The 16,233-nt window shown below is 49.5% G+C and overlaps 1 protein-coding gene across 27 annotated transcripts in view, besides 4 other annotated features; it reads right to left on the reverse strand.

The window, feature by feature from the left end:
* Positions 1-16,233, reverse strand: part of CTBP2 (C-terminal binding protein 2) — a 178,147-nt gene that overhangs the window by 58,808 nt on the left and 103,106 nt on the right. The window contains exon 1 of one of the 27 annotated variants that reach the window (XM_047424678.1): positions 6,173-6,191. The exons of the other annotated variants lie outside the window; for them this stretch is intronic. The gene's annotated coding sequence lies outside the window, so the exon portion shown is untranslated. Of the gene's footprint in view, positions 1-6,172; positions 6,192-16,233 lie in introns of those variants that run through there. 27 annotated transcript variants of the gene reach the window in all.
* Positions 4,866-5,449: an enhancer, noted in NCBI's record as "H3K27ac-H3K4me1 hESC enhancer chr10:126736559-126737142 (GRCh37/hg19 assembly coordinates)". NCBI's record gives its function as "activates a minimal SCP1, AML or CMV promoter by ChIP-STARR-seq in primed H9 embryonic stem cells {active_cell/tissue: H9 hESC(primed)}" and the evidence as "EXISTENCE:reporter gene assay evidence [ECO:0000049][PMID:30033119]".
* Positions 8,648-9,404: an enhancer, noted in NCBI's record as "H3K4me1 hESC enhancer chr10:126740341-126741097 (GRCh37/hg19 assembly coordinates)". NCBI's record gives its function as "activates a minimal SCP1, AML or CMV promoter by ChIP-STARR-seq in primed H9 embryonic stem cells {active_cell/tissue: H9 hESC(primed)}" and the evidence as "EXISTENCE:reporter gene assay evidence [ECO:0000049][PMID:30033119]".
* Positions 14,650-15,398: an enhancer, noted in NCBI's record as "H3K27ac-H3K4me1 hESC enhancer chr10:126746343-126747091 (GRCh37/hg19 assembly coordinates)". NCBI's record gives its function as "activates a minimal SCP1, AML or CMV promoter by ChIP-STARR-seq in naive H9 embryonic stem cells {active_cell/tissue: H9 hESC(naive)}" and the evidence as "EXISTENCE:reporter gene assay evidence [ECO:0000049][PMID:30033119]".
* Positions 15,399-16,146: an enhancer, noted in NCBI's record as "H3K27ac-H3K4me1 hESC enhancer chr10:126747092-126747839 (GRCh37/hg19 assembly coordinates)". NCBI's record gives its function as "activates a minimal SCP1, AML or CMV promoter by ChIP-STARR-seq in naive H9 embryonic stem cells {active_cell/tissue: H9 hESC(naive)}" and the evidence as "EXISTENCE:reporter gene assay evidence [ECO:0000049][PMID:30033119]".

Here is a 16,233-nt window from a genome sequence, read left to right on the forward strand (position 1 = left end):
GTTCCGTGGAGGTATCACAGAGAATGTGACATTTTTGAAGACGTGAGAGAACAAAAAGGAAAAACGGCACATTTTACAAACCCTTGCTTGGCTATCAAACTCCAACATATCCAGAATCAAGGGCAGGGGAAAGGGGAGGGTTCCCCTCATCAAGCACAGTCTAAAATCTGGGCAGGTTAATTTTACTCAATGACCATCACCAGCTCCTCGCCACCATCATGAGGTTCTCTACCAAGCGCCCTTAAGGTTACACAGCACAAAAACCTGGGATCAACTCAGTTTTATAGACCCTCTCGATTTCTTTTCTTTTTCTATTTCTTTTTCTTTTTTGAGAAGGAGTCTTGCTCTGTCGCCCAGGCTGGAGTGCAGGGGCGCAATCTGGGCTCACTGCAAGCTCCGCCTCCCAGGTTCACGCCATTCTCCTCCCTCACAGCCTCCCGAGTAGCTGGGACTACAAGTGCCGCCACCACGCCCGGCTACTTTTTGTACTTTTAGTAGAGACTGGGTTTCACCGTGTTAGCCAGGATGGTCTCGATCTCCTGACCTCGTGATCTGTCTGCCTCAGCCTCCCAAAGTGCTGGGATTATAGGTGTAAGCAACCGTGCCCGGCCGACCCTCTCGATTTCTTGACTCCACTTCCTAGCCTTCATCAAGAATAGGCAGCTGAAGGGATTTATAGAGTAAGTGCATGCCTTTGACAGTGCCTTTCTTCAAAATGAAATTTCTCTCAAATCCAGTTAAACATGATGATGGCTTTCAATTCTTTCAAGGAAATCTATTTAAACATTCTGTTAATAAAGGCAGACCGAGTTTCACAATATGCTCACAAATTAATATCATCGTAGTTAAGCAAGTCCTGCCAAAGTTCTCTGAGTGTGTCCCCGGAGAACTCAGATCTCACTGTTAAGCATGAGTGGGGCGCAGACTTTCTGTTTGAGAGGTTGAGGCGATCCAATGCAGGAAGAAAAGATTCCCTGCAACCCAGATGGCCGCATCAATGCACAAGGTCCACCACCCTTCTGAGCCTGGGATCCCAAACGACAGGACTCACTCCTGGAAAGCTTCCTTCACCGCAGCCTACAGGGCCTCTCAGTGCACCCACAGGCTCATCCAGGAGCCTGTGCGACCACTGTGCCAAGATGAGGAGACAGCAACAGTCCAGGCGGTGGTGACACCCAGCTCTTGCACACATAGCCGAGGATCCTGCTGGTGTGGTGCTGGCGGCACATCTGCAGATACGGTGCCAGTTAACAGGGCCTTGAGAACGCCAGCCCACCAATGACTTCTGCCCAGAAAACACTCTGACTTTTCATCCGGAGTTAACAGCCACATGTGCTCAGGCCACCTCAAAAGAGCACATTCCATAGGCTTCAGAAGCCAAACTTGTGCAACAGATGTCTTTCTTAGGAAGAGAGCTGGGTAGAATCTTCTGAACGGGTGATGAGCATTTTATTTTGTAAACTACACTTGGAAAAAACTACTAAAAACCAGATATAAGCAGGGCACAGTGGCGTGTGCCTCTAGTCTCCCTCCTCAGAAGGCTGAGACGGGCAGCTCTCTTGAGGCTGTGATGTGCCACGATCGCACCTGTGAATAAAGCCACTGCACTCCAGCCTGGGCCACCCAGTGAGAGCCTGTCTCAAACTTAAAGCAACAGCAAAGCCAGATATAACAAAATAAACGTCCTAAAGGAGTCAGGGATCAGTGGGTCAAAAAGCACTGGCCCAGCCTTTGATTAAATGGCAACCGCAACACCACAATTAATAACAAAATTACTAAAACTGTACTTTAAAGGAAGGAAATGAAGCTTTTTGAGAAAATCAGGATAGGAAATGAGCTTAATGGAGCCAATTTTCAGAACGGCAGCTATGGACCGAATGCTTGTGTACCCTAAAATTCTTCCATGCTGAATGCTGGATTCGTGAATGTGCAAACCCTAATGCCCACAGTGATTGTATCTGGGTGCTGGGCCTCTGGAGGTGATTCATGAGGCTCTGCCCTCAGGAACAGGATTATTACCCAGTCCGTAGTACCCAATAGATGATCTTGCTGCCCCACGCGAGGATACAGCCAGGAGGTCTACAGCCAGCAAGCAGGCCCTCCCAGATCCTGGATCTGCCAGATCATTAGTTTTACATTTCCTAGGCTCCAGAGCTGTGAGAAATAAAGCCACTCAGTCGATGGTATTTTTCTTACAGCAGCCCGAACTAAGACAATGGCCAAAAGTGAATATTGCTTCCTGATTATTTATTAATTTTTGCAAATTTAGTTTTATGTTTTTGGGAATTAAGAGGGTGTCTGACTTCCTATACACTACCAATAAAGAGGCGTACAGGAAAATCTCCCTCTCCAAGGGCCCCCATACCATGCCCTAAAGGTAACTAGCAGGACCCTTTCTTTCTTTTTTGGAGACAGATTCTCACTTTGTTGCCCAGGGAATCTCAGCTGACTGCAACCTCCACTTCTCGAGTTCAAGTGATTCTCCTGCTGTAGCCTCCCAAGTAGCTGGGCACAAGCCACCAAGCCCAGCAAATTTTTGTATTTTTAGTAGACACAGGGTTTCACCACGTTGGCCAGGCTGGTCTCAAACTCCTGACTTCAGGTGTCCTGACCCCTCGGCCTCCCAAAGTGCTGGGATTACAGGCGTGAGCCACCAAGCCCAGTCGTGACCCTTTCTAATATACACATTGAAGTTTCACTCTGGTTCCACCATCAAAGAAAGGCTAGGGAGCTCATATTTCCCCAGGGAGCACCCAGCAGCCCAACCCCAGAGTGACATGGTCACACCCTGGTCACATGCCCTCGATCAGTTCCAAGGGCCCCACCCTCTAATTCCCTAGGGCTGATGCAATGCAGGAAACCCAGCTGTAGCCAACACAGGGCTACAATCCACTTCCCACACCCCAAGGCTAGGTATGCTACAGAATTCACAAGTGCTTGGGTTTAAAAAAAAAATACATGGCTTCCACAATCTATTACGGTGTACCCCCCAAATCATCTAAATGCCTGTGCCAGAACAGATAATCATACTGACCCAACTGCATTAAGAAAGAATATAAAAAATAGACTCAACAATTTAGGGCAGGTCAAATTCTGCCGCTATCAGAGTATTTTAGAATTTGGATATGAGGGCCAGGCGTAGTGGCTCATACCTGTAATCCTAGCACACTGGGAGGCCAAGGAGGGTGGATCACATGAGGTCAGAAGTTCGAGACCAGCCTGGCCAACATGGTGAAACCCCATCTCTACTAAAAATACAAAAAATTAGCCAGGCATGGTGGTGCACGCCTGTAATCCCAGCTACTGGGGAGGCTGAGGCATGAGAATCGCTTGAACCCAGGAAGTGTAGGTTGTAGTCAGCTGAGATCCCGCCACTGCACTCCAGCCTGAGTGACAGAGTGAGACTCTATCTCAAAAAAAAAAAAAAAAAAGAATTTGGATATGAGGCTAAGGAATGTGGATCTGTGATTCTGTTCTGTCCATCTAACTCCCACCAAAACATTCTTAGGGGCTTTGAAATGACCAAAAAATTAAAAGTGAAGCCCCTGTAAGTTACACAGAGTAAGAAACATCAAAGAAATGTACACAGCAAGTCTCTGAGCACATGGAGTCAGTGCTAGGAGAGGGCACACTATGAGGCTCTGGGCTGCCACACAGAAGGAGGTGAGCAAATCTAAAAACCAGGCTTTCCCTTGGCCAACAAAGCTGAGTAAATCCTCCCGTTTTGGTTAAGGGTTGTTAGCACACGAAAATACATTTCCTCGTGTTAAATGCAAGACTCCAAAATTCTAAATATTTTCACTTGCTAAAAGCTATAATCAAGAACAGAAGACTTGAGCAGAAAGAATTTGTGATTTTCCTAATTGGTTGTTTGATTTGTGTCATAATGGAAATTAAGTGTTGGTCTTTGTTGCTAAAGAAAATGAGCCATTCTTGTGTTTAGGATTTTCACACAGTTTAAAAGAACTTGTCTTCCAAATATGCCTTAAAAATAAACTGTATATTAGTTTTAATAGTGTTATTTAATAATAAAGGTTAAGCAAAAAAAAAGGGATAAAAGCAAATAAGCAAACAAACTAAATGACACCTCTTATTCCTGTCTGTTTAGACTTGAGGAATCAGGAATGCAGATCAATTTTTCCTTTTCTAGTTTTCTCTTTCCTACTCTGGCATGAAAATTTTGATCTGTAGCCGAGAAGACTGGTTGAACAGATAAAAAAAATTAGTGATCTCAAATTTTAGGCAGACAGAAGTGGTTCCACCAGAAAACTCATCTTTTGTTACATACAGTGTGCAAGAAATGATTCCAGAATGTTTATATCTGAACGTCATGCAGAGAAACTGGGCACACACAATACAATTGGGCACACACAATACATCTGCTGTGTCCAGCATGGTGTAAAAGCACAGGGGACTGATGGCCACTAAGGGTTTTGAACTTGAGGACTTGCAAAGGCAAGAGCCACCAAGCTACACTTCTTGGAGAGAAATATCTGGAGGTTATATGCTAAACCTATGCAAAACTTAATACAATTTATTAGACTATGTATTCAACTGTCAATTGTAACCATATTATAGAACACTGTGTTATATGTATCATATAGTATATAATAAATTATTAATGAGATAATGTTAAACATTGCTGTCTTAATATATGAAATGGGGGAAGATTTAATCCTCCTAACTTTTAATTATTTAGCTTACACTTAACACATGAATTGCCCTTGTATTTAAATATCAAATAAAGGCAATTATAGGAATTAGCTACTTATCAAACAAATTGCAATGATGAGATATGAATTTGTAAAAAAAATCTTCAGGTTAGATTTTTAAGATGTTTGCCTTTGAATTTTGCCTCAGAGAGGCCTGGAATCCTCGACTGATTTTATGGGGCCTCTACTGTCCTTAGGGGAACCCAACTGGCCTTCTGAGATCCCAGCCCACTCATCTCTTGACACCGTAGGGTCCAGAATGCTTGTATAAGGACATGCTCTCTGCAGTCTCTGCTTGCTCTCAAAACCAATGGAAACCCCCACGTGGGCTGACCTTTTCCTGTTGCAGCCCTTCCTGGGAGCTGGCCCAGCCCAAGGGAGGCCTGGTGTCCAGCGATGGGGCCCTTTGGCCAGCAGAGGGCACTGCACACCCTGCATGGCCTTCCAGAGGCTGCAGAGACAGCCATGAGCCACCATCCTCATTTCTATCCCAACTTAAGCTCTACAAGCACCTGGAGAAAATAAGATCAGCTACTCCTAGAAGGGAAGGCCTGGGCCCATGGATGAGATGCTGCATTTCCCCGAAAGTTCCAGATGTGAAAGAGGCAGAAGGTCTCACCGTTCCAGCAGCAGATGCTTCGTTTCTAGGAGCATGATATGCCAGGGGAAAGGGGATGCAGCGCCAGCGCCTACTTGTTTATCTCCCGAGACGCTAGCTGGGGGTCCCACTTTCACAGCGGAGTGACTGGAGGTACAGGCCAAGAAGGAGGGAGGCTCCCTGCCCAGGGTGTGGAGTCCCCGACCCCAGGGAGCCAGGGGCCACCCTGACAAATGATTTTTCCATTACGTCTGCTGACAGCAACCAGTTAGTGTTGAAAATTGGAAACAACTTGGCAGAGACGGAACACACACAGAGAGGACGGTGCTGGGGAGGGGCCGGCTGGGCTGCTCCGCAAATGCCCCTTAGGCTTTCCATTACAAATGACAGCCTCTGGAGCACTATGCACACCTGATCAACAGGCTCAATTTGACTCAACACCAGGATCAGTTTGCTGTGAGACAAGTATGATCTTAAGATATACAACTTTTTTTCCTGGTAGACACTAATTTAGAAAGGAAAGGAGATTTTTCCAACTTTCCCCAGGAATTGATTCTGGCCAGAATGCACATTAATGTGCTCTCTGGCCTCAATTTGCCCGCCTGACCACAGACACACACACACACACACACACACACACACACACACACACACACACGTCCACCTGACCACACACATACACACACAACACCCCTTTCACCAAGTTCTAAGATGCTGGCCACCTCTTCTCCACACTGGCAGGGTACCTGACAGTTTCTGGTTGGAGAAGAATGGGAGGGGCTGGTGTAGCCCACTAATGCCCCACTACGGGAGACAGATGTGCCTAATTCAGTCCCCACCGTCACAGGACACTCTTTCTTACCATCATTTCAAAGTCGCCACAGTTGTCACAGCAGCAGGATACCACTGAGTGATACAGCACATGCTTGGCCTGATTTGGCAGAGGATGCCTTTGGATAGACCCCACACACGTGCGGATCCTGGGGAGCCCCCACCTGAGCTCCGGTGCCACCTCCCCCAGGCAGCGCCTCTCCACCTTCTCTTCATGGCTCTGATGCCACGAATACCTCACAAGCTTGCTCCAAGTCACATTCAGTGGGACTTGCTTTCACTTTCCAGGACGAGGTTCCTCTGTACAACCCACTTCAGTGTGGAACCTTCAGCAAGGAATGAGGGCTACATGGTGGCCAGGGAGAGGTGGAGACCCGCAGGCATGGTCGAAGATGGTGGGAAAGGGGAGTTCAAGCTGGACGGGCAGAGATAAGCTATCAAAGCAAACGCTGGCTGGGCTGCCAAGTGTCCGGAGAGATTATCTCAAAAACAAGCAGGAACGGCTCCCTCCAAAGGGGCCCACCTGCTGAAGGAGTGGGGACCCAGCCTTCCAAGTTCCATGCCAGCCAAGTTATAGAGTCAAACCAAATCAAGACTCTTGAGCCACCCCGCTCCAACTCTTCTGCCCAGCCTGACGTGACCAGGCCAGTGTAGCCACCGCCCCAGTGCACAGCTCAGCTCCCCAAACCCCACGTCTGTGGGGCCAACTGTTTAGGACACCAGTAGTTTGGGCATGCACTGGGATAAAAGTGCTCCAGGCACCTGGGGTGGCCCATCCTTCATTTCAACTAAGGCATCACTCATCATGCAAAGGCTGGCATCCAGGAGAGCCAACTCAGACCTCAGGAGTGGAGGATTATGTTTGCTTTATGAGGGCAGATACTCTATGCCTGGGTCCTTACAAGTATACACATTCCATAATGCGTCTCTATCACCAAAAGCCGCTCTGCAGCATCATGGGGCACCGGTACCCTGTCTCCTGCGACAGGTCGTGGAAATGATATGTAGAAATCAGACATCCCTAACTCCAGAAAATCTCTAGATTCAAAGACACCGCTTCCCAGACCTTATCTTTTCAACCTGAGTCATAAAGAGAAAAATCTTAGTCTTATCCACAGTTATTTAACATGAAATAAAATAGCTTGCAGCTATTCATTTTGCTTAACACGGTTTTCACGTGGAAGACGGCTACGTAACGGAAACCCAGAGGGATGAAGGCTTTGTTTGGTATCCATGACTGCACCCAAAGGGAGAGCGGGCGTCTCGCAGAGTCTGATGGGGAGGAGGAGGGTGGGACACTCCCGTGTCACACAAATTCATCTTTGCCTATCAAATGCCGGGAAAAGGAAGGGTGGGGGTGCGGCTCACAAGAGTTCTTTTGTTTCTGTTATGGGGTGTCGCTGGGGTTCAGCTGTCTTCTTGAATCATTTCACCTGTTTCACAGTGGCTTCCAGTCCCGGTCTCCAGGTCTCTGACGAGTACACCACCCCATTTTAACACTCATCATAGCTCAGAATGTTCCAGGCTATAGCTAAAATATAAGTTAGTGGAAAGAGGTTGCTGGGGAGGAGTAGACAAGGCTCCTGATGAGAATCTTCTAGAGAACTGCAACCTTGTCATAATGAACTGGGGTCCTCACAGGCCTCCTGCACCAAAGTCCTCTGGAGAGGGAGACATCTGGATGAGGAGGGTGGATGGTGCCCATGAATACAGTCACCTATGTGGAGAATTACAGCTCATCGTGAGCTACCATCAGGGATCCTAATTTTACATGAAATCCCACTGGAGAATTCTTGACAAGGTAATGGCCATTTAAAAATCTGCTCTGAGACATTTTATGGGGATATTGTGCATGTTAGAGCCCAAGCCAGACAAATAAATGGGAAAAAAGGTCCGAGGACTCAGGATACCTGGATCCCAAGTTTATGTCCCCACCCCAGACACCATTCGAAAACGGTACATGGAGACCCTTAGGGAAAGGCAGGTCCCTGGAGGCCCACTCCTCATGTACTTCCTGCCATAGTCATCCAAGCCTGAACATTTATGGTCTTGATGTCAATTAAGTCCCCAAAGCAATTAAAATACCTTTTCAGGCCAGGCATGGTGGCTCACGCCTGTAATCCCAGCACTTTGGGAGGCCAAGGTGGGTGGATCACTTGAGGTCAGGAGTTTGAGACAAGCCTGGCCAACATGGCAAAACCCCATCTCTACTAAAAATACAAAAATTAGCCAGGTGTGGTGGTGGGCACCTGTAATCCCAGCTACTCAGGAGGCTGAGGCAGGAGAATTGCTTGAACCCAGGGGACAGAGCTTGCAGTGAACTGAGATCACGCCACTGCACACTAGCCTGGGCAACAGAGTGAGACTCTGTCTCAAAATAGAAACCAACCAACCAAAAAAAAAAAAAAGAAACCTTTTCAATTAAATGCCCACAGGTCACACACTGACTGTTACAGGTTGAATTATGGACCCCCCTAATTATGTTAAAGTTCTAAGCCCCAGGACCTCAGAATGGAACCTTATTTGAAGATAAGGTCGTTACAGCGGCAATCAAATTAAACAGGTCATTAGAGTGGACTCTAATCCAAGACGAATATTCTCATAAAAAGGAGGACAGTTGGACACTTAGACACAGACAGGGGGAAGACGACGTGAAGATGGCATCTAAAAGCTACGGAGACAGGGCTTCTCTCAAATCCTTGGAAGGAAGCACCCCTGCGGATGCCTTATCTCAGACTTCCAGCCTCTAGAACTCTGAGAAAACACATCTCTGTCCTGGCCTGTCTGTGGAACCTTCTTTCAGCAACCCGAGCACGCCAACACATGCCAACAGACGGGAGGCTCGCACCTATCGGTGGGGGTCTGCGCTGCTGAGACCTGCAAGCTCAGGACCCCCCGGCAGGAAGCCTGGTTGTGATGCAGGGGCAGCAATCTGTGCAGAATCCTGGCTTTATTAAAAAGCTCCAAGTCAACCCAAGCCTGCTTTATGGGGAGAGGCAACCTTCACCCTCCAATCTCGCCCCAGACAGCTCAACACGCACGGCCTGAGGTGTGCCCGTGGCCATTTCCCAGCAGTGGTCAGAGGGGCTGCAGGTCCCAGAGCTGACCCCCACAACACGCAGGGAGCAGCCTCCTGAGAGGCTCAGACCTGTGTTCGCCAGGGGAGAGACCCAGGAGGGAATGTTCTAACCTTATTTCCCTTAAGCTGTTTTCTGTGCTCCATGTCTGGGATTTCATTGTTTGGACCGTCCTGCCTTTGTGTTGTCTGTGTTAACAACACCCAGAAGATTCCATCAGCCTCATGCCAGGGTTGGGAGATCAAAGAAAGGTGATCCCCACACGGCCCACAGAGGAGGGAAGAACCTATCAAGAACGCCCTTGGGGTCCAGCAGCAAACGGATGGTGATTGTGCCTTTGAATGCCTCAGTCCGGGCTTTGTGTATCATAGTGTGGGCTCCAGCAGGAATCTGGGGTCCACAATCACAGGCACCATCGGTTCCTGCTTGGCGGCAGCCCCAACACATTCCCATGGGAGCCCAGACGGAGCGCCCACTGGATCTCAGGCTGGAATTGGGCGCTTGGATCAACTCCATTCATATGGCTTTGGGACAGCCACGTGCATCTCCACACTTCCCAAGTTCATGGGAAATTTTGAGAAAAACTTTTCTGACTGTCAAAGCATTCTCTCCGGTCCATTCTCAAATTCTTCCCCCAGAATGAAGTTTATGAATACGCATCACGCAGCATGCAGCCGCTGACCCCAAGTGTACTTATTTCTTCAAAACACAGAACTTTAGGAGTACAAAAGGCTTATTCGAAGAGAGAGAAAAAAAAAGAAAACAAAACCCCACACAACTTCCAGGATAATTCAAGCATGAATCCACGGGGCCACCGAAGCCAAGGCTGCCCCTCAGGGCAGGTGCAGCATTCTCCCAGGTTTCTGGAGTACGACTGGGGGTTCATCTCTGGAGGGCCGGGGCTCCCTCACCTCCAGGAAGGATCCAGTGCATTGTCAACACAAAGGACATGGGAGCAGGAGGAGCCCACTGAAAATGACCCGCCACTCTATCTTTTGAATGGCAACCTCACTGCCCGCCGAACAGAGAGCAAGAGGACACAGTGAAAGGTCTTTTGCAGTCCAGATTCTTGCAGCCCCTCCTGGCATCCCCCAACACAGCAGTGCAAGGAAGGCCCTCTGTCCTCTCCAGGCCCCTCCCAGAGGTTCTCCCAGGGAGGACACCCAGGGATGAGTGGCTCCTGGGCTCAGCCTGCTCCACTCCCAAGGCCCTTGGGAAATCAACAGGCTCAGCTCAAGAGAGGCAGAGAAGGGGTGAGGCTAATAGGTTTTGGTTTTTGGAAGGTCTGAGGTTAGACCCTCTGGGCTTCAGAGACAGCACTTCAGATGATGCCGGGGTGAACATCTCAGACACGCTCCTGAAGATGGGAGGGGAGATCTCAGCCCAGAGCCGAAGGTGTAGACGGGTCTGATGAGTGGGAAGACAGGAAGGGAAATGGGAACTTCACTTGGAAAAGGAGAGATGCCACATAGTTCCGAAGGGCAGGGCACTGGCCACAGACTGCCCTTCATGCCCAGCTCCACAAGAAACCAGGGACCCGGCAGAGGATCAGATTCCACACAGGGACCCTCACTGAGGTTGCACACACATTATCTCAGTGACCTTTCCAGCCCCTACAGGACTTCTGGGGAATCCGAAGCCGGATAGCTCTGCACAGCCACCCACCGGTGACACAGGCGTGCCCACAAAACAGTAGAGGGCCATGAATTGAGGGCCATGGAGGCTTTTCTGAATCACTGCCCCTCCCCAGAGGCCCACTGAGAGCTTTCCAAGCTGAACATGACCCTCTCCCTGAATAAGGCAGATCCCATCTACACTGTGGATGCCAGAAAAAGAATCAATCCCATGGCCCCCGGGGACCCCCAACCTTTTGGAATTCATGTCCTTGTACAAGCTCTGCTTCTAAACAAACAGTAAACAGTATACACAGGTGAGGGGATGTCACTTCTGAGATTAGGTTAAAAGAGACTGTGGCTACCAGTGTGGGCATCCTCCCATCTTCCCTGCCAACTTCCCTCCCTCCCAGAGGCCAGCTGCCATGCCAGCTGCCCTAAGGAGAGACCCACGGAACAGGAAACCAAGGCCCTCAGTCCCAACAGTCCATGAGAAGCTGAACCCTCCCCGAGCCGGGCCTTCAGATGAGACCACAACCCCACTGACATCCTGAATGCAACATTGTCAGGGCCCTAGCAGGAGGCACCAAGCTAAGCTGTGCAGGTTCCTGTCCCATAGACAGTGCAAGACAATAAAGTTTTGTTGTTTTAAGCCTTTACATTTTGAGGTAATTTGTCACACAGCAATAGATAACTAATACAACCCTTTACACAAACTATCACACTGACTATGGTCACTGACACAGTACAGTTCAACAGAAAAGATAAAAACAGTAATACATTTGTAATGCATGGCGTCTAGTTTATACTACCTACAGGACAGAGAACACTAACAAAAAACAAGCGAAACCCTCTAAATCCTCCGCTGCCCAGACTGACATGAGGTCTGTGATATATCCACTTCTGTAAACTCTTGGGGTAAACGCTATTCTCCTCACAACAGCAATGCGTACAAGCTGAAGGAACGGAAAGTCTGCTGTTATGTTCACTTACCCCAGATGCTTAAAATAAATTCCAGGGCTACGCTCAACATGCACAGAGTTAACTCAGGCACCCTGGGGTCTCCACTCTGACTCACGCACACCCATAAATCTGGGGAACATTAAAAAGATCTATCAGAGCCTGGGCCCCACATTAAGAATGCAGCCTCCTAGACCCCCCTCTGAATGGTAATTCACTGGGTAAACAGACCTTCTTGCTTTTTCTTAAAAGTGGTCCTTGAACTGCAGCTACGATTAAGTCTGAGCTCTCAGAGAAAAAGAGCATGTAGGTAAATATTGAAGGCAGTCTGCACAGAGGTTCAGGGCACAAACACAGCCGCTTCTGAGACAGGGAACACCATGAGCCGAGGCAGGAGCTGGCCTCAACTGCAACACAAGGGGCAGAAATGGGAAGGCTGCAAAAACCACGCAGGTGCCATGCCCTCATGTGCCCAGATGCTTGGGTGGCCCTGGATGATTTCCTAGGATCACGGCATTTCTGGAGCCTTCTGAGATTGTAGAGGTCACCAAATCCAAACTTCAGAGAACCTGAGACTCAACATGGCCAGGTCACTCCTAGTCCTATGTCCTTAGGACCCCGATGTACATCTCCCGCTCCCCCAGAAGCAGCACTGCAGAGGCTTGTGGAGTCAGACTGAGCCACACCAGCCAGATGCAAAACACGGCTACGTCTCACAAAGCCACACCCCACAATCCCCGAACCACACTCCAAGGGAGAGCTCTCCAGAGCAGACACAGAACATCTGCAGAAGCAAAAAGCCAGACTAGCATGTAAAATCATGAAAAGAAAAAAATCAAAGAGGCAGGTAGACACATACCCAACTGTTGGCAGGGGAGTCCCTCTGAGGAGTGGGACTGTGGGAAGGAGGAGGCTCCAAGAGGCTGGAACGCTTTTTAGCTGCATGCATGACTTTAAAAGCAGCTAACTGGCCAGGCGTGGCAGCTCACACCTGCAATCCCAGCACTTTGGGAGGCCGAGGTGGGCAGATCATGAGTCCAGGAGTTCGAGACCAGCCTGGCCAACATGGTGAAACCCCGTGTGTACTAAAAATACAAAAACTAGCCAGGTGTGGTGGCACGTGCCTGTAGTCCCAGCTACTCAGGAGGCTAAGGCAGGAGAATTGCTTCAGCCTGACAGGCAGAGGTTACAGTGTGCCGAGATCACGCCACTGCACTCCAGCCTGGGCAATACAGCGAGATTGTGTCTCAAAAATAAAAATAATAATAATAATAATAATAGTAATAATAATAATAATAACTAATAAACAAAAGCAGCTACCACTTCTAGAATGCTCCATGTGCGATGAGAACTATTCTAAGCGGCTGTGAGTAGTAACTGACACAATGCATAAGCAGCCAGCAATTCCATTCTGCTGGGCTGGTTTGCACAGTGAAGGCGTGCACGCCATGGAGGAGGACACGCCCAGCACAGATGTCTGTCAGCTCTGGATGAGGCTTCAGGTGAGTCCCCGAAACCTCAGGTGCAGGCAGGATACACACACTCCCCCTCCACCCCAGATGCCTTCAGAAGAGTGTGCCATTGGCTCTAAGGAGCCCAGGAGGCCCAGAGCCTGTAAGATAACATCACAACACAGCGGCCCAGGAGTCAGGGTCATCTGCTGAAAACTCACTCCCTCTAGTCACCCGCCAGCCCCACAGCTGCTCTTTGTGCCTCAGCTTCATGGAAAGGTTAAATGACCAACGCCATCCTCCTGCCTCTAGAACGGCCACAGAGTCAGGTCAGATGACAGTCTGCACTCTTAGTCGAGGGATGTTGGCTACAGAAACTTCCGTGGCCTTAGGACCTCCAACTCCATCGCTCCCAACCCCATCACGGGCAGCAATGCGGACAGGTCACACAAGTGCCATGGGGACCCACCTCCCAGTCCGTGTCTGTGGCCCCAGTGCTTGATGAGCTGTGTGATCAGAGCATGTATCCACAGGCAGAGCTCTGGAAGGTTCTCTCCGAGGGACCTGTTGAGCCCCTCATTGCTTTCTCCATCACACCTTCCCGAGGAAGACACAAGGGTCCCTCTGTCCCCGGGGTACACAGGGCAGCCCCCAGCCGGGGAAGCATGCCTCTCTGCCCTCTGGGTTGGGCTCCGTTCCCCATGCCAGGTCCTGGGGGCAGGAGGGAGACAGCAAGGCCAGAAGGCAGTGCAATCTTATTCCCAGAGAGGCACCCAGGAAGGGTTAAACGGATTGTTAGAGACAAAACCGATGAAAACGACTTCAACACAATCTGATGAGGTCAGCGAGTAGAGAGGCCCTAATGACACTTGTAAGAAAAAACATCTGTTGGTGTCAAAAGGTCAGCAGGAAGTGAGTGGGATTTACGTGGCTGGGATTGGCCAGACCAGCACTCCTCGAAAGAGAGACACACACATGGCTTAACTTAGCCTGAGAGGAACAACAAAAACCCCTTTCAATTGTCCTGTGACCAGCCCCCGCCTCCCTCTAAACAACAGGCCAAACCCCGAGCTATGAAATCCGTCTGGGCCCCTGACTGGCAATTAGCTCTTTGTCCATTCACTGATCGGCCACTGAGGCCCAGACTCCCCCCGACTGAGTCTTTTGGGGATGACGTTTTTGCTGTGAGTGCGTATCCCTTTTCCAGGCCACAGAATCTCCAGCTTGACTTTTTCCTTGGAACACAAAGAGGGTCACTTGAATAGCAAATGTTTCAATAAATCCATCATCACAAAAACCAAAACAAGAAGTTTCTCTGGAAAAACAGGAAGTCCTGGTACACAGCGTGGCTTAAAATAGGGCCTGTTTCATTTGTTGACAAAACTCCAGCCTCTGGAAGCCTCTTGGAGGAGCTTTGTCTGAGATCCAGCTTACCTTTTAAACACTCCTTCAGTAAAAAGCATCCCAGTGCTTCGGGCAACAGACTGGCCTGGACTTCGTTACACTCTGACGCAGGTCACAGGTCTGGGTCCTGGCCGTCCCACTTCCTGTCCACAGGCCCCCAAGAGGGTCTCACGGGAAGCCAGGCTCAGGGCCGTGGCAGGAATGAGGCCTGGTGCTTTCATGCCATCAACGAGCTGGGTGGCGGGAGGTGCTTTTTCAGCCTTCTCCTCTAAAGCATTTCTAACTTGGAGGCCTCTCGGAGTTAGTATTCTGCTTGTTCTTTATGAACTGTTACAGAGTTTTACAGGAGCCCTGACGGGGAGAAACTCTTGGACTGTCACCTGAACTTGACCACTGTGCAGTAGGCAAAGTGGAGGTCCCAGTTGCACCCAGCCAGCCTGGAATATGCAGCTGCGCCCTCCCCAAAGTCACCCACTATAAAGAATACAGGCACCAGAAAACTCCAGAAAGATGTTAAAAGTTCTTCACGTGATACGATTGCACACACAGTGCTGCGTCCTCACAAGATGCCTCCTGGGCACCGTCCCATAAAGGTGCTCTCACCTGATCTAACCATCCATTCCTCTCCCCCTGAGTTTTGCCTTTTCCAAGCTAACCGCCAAGGATCTGGAGGACGGTGTTCACACAGCGAGGCATGGGCGTGTGTCGCAACTATTCCCCTGTTGAAATGTGAAGCCACGGCCGGGCGCGGTGGCTTACACCTGTAATCCCAGCACTTTGGGAGGCTGAGGCGGGCAGATCACCTGAGGTCAGGAGTTTGAGACCAGCCTGGCCAACATGGCAAAACCCCAACTCTACTAAAAATACAAAGATTAGTCAGGTGTGGTGGCGCGGTGGGCAGATCACCTGAGGCCGGGAGTTCGAGACTAGCCCGGCCAACATGACGAAACCCGTCTCTACTAAAAATACAAAAATTAGCCAGGTGTGGTGGCACACACCTGTAATCTCCACAACTCAGGACGCTGAGGCAGAAGAATCATTTGAACCCGGGAGGCGGTGGCTGCAGTGAACCAAGATTATGCCACTGCACTCCAGCCTGGGCGACAGGGTGAGACTCTGTCTCAAAATAAAAAGGCACAGAGAGATCAGAGAATCAAGTCTACCAAATTCTTCACACGGAGATTCCACCACCACCAAAAGCACATCCCCACGGTCAGGCAGGTGACGAGGACCTTCAGGAGATTTCCTTACCACTAGGATGGGCAGGGGGAGGCTTCTGCATGGATACCGGAGGCTCACTGCGTGAACCTTCTGGAGACGGCACTGTCACTTTTGTCTCCTTTGCTGGTGCTAAACAAAGTGTGGGCGGTGGGGGTGGGAGGCGTGTTTAAGTAAAAAGGAGACACAAGCAATGCTAGTTGTTTCAGGATCCTGCTGGGTTTTGTTGGCTTATAGAGGAGAAAATCAGCGATATGAAGGTACGTGAGGGGTAAGACATACGCAATTTCACTTCAGAAATGTGAATTGAGGCCGGGCATGGTGTTTCACGCTTGGAATCCCAGCACTTTGGGAGGCTGAGGCGGGCAG

This window comes from Homo sapiens, chromosome 10 (genome assembly GCF_000001405.40).
Source record: "Homo sapiens chromosome 10, GRCh38.p14 Primary Assembly".
Classification (NCBI taxonomy): Eukaryota; Metazoa; Chordata; class Mammalia; order Primates; family Hominidae; genus Homo; species Homo sapiens.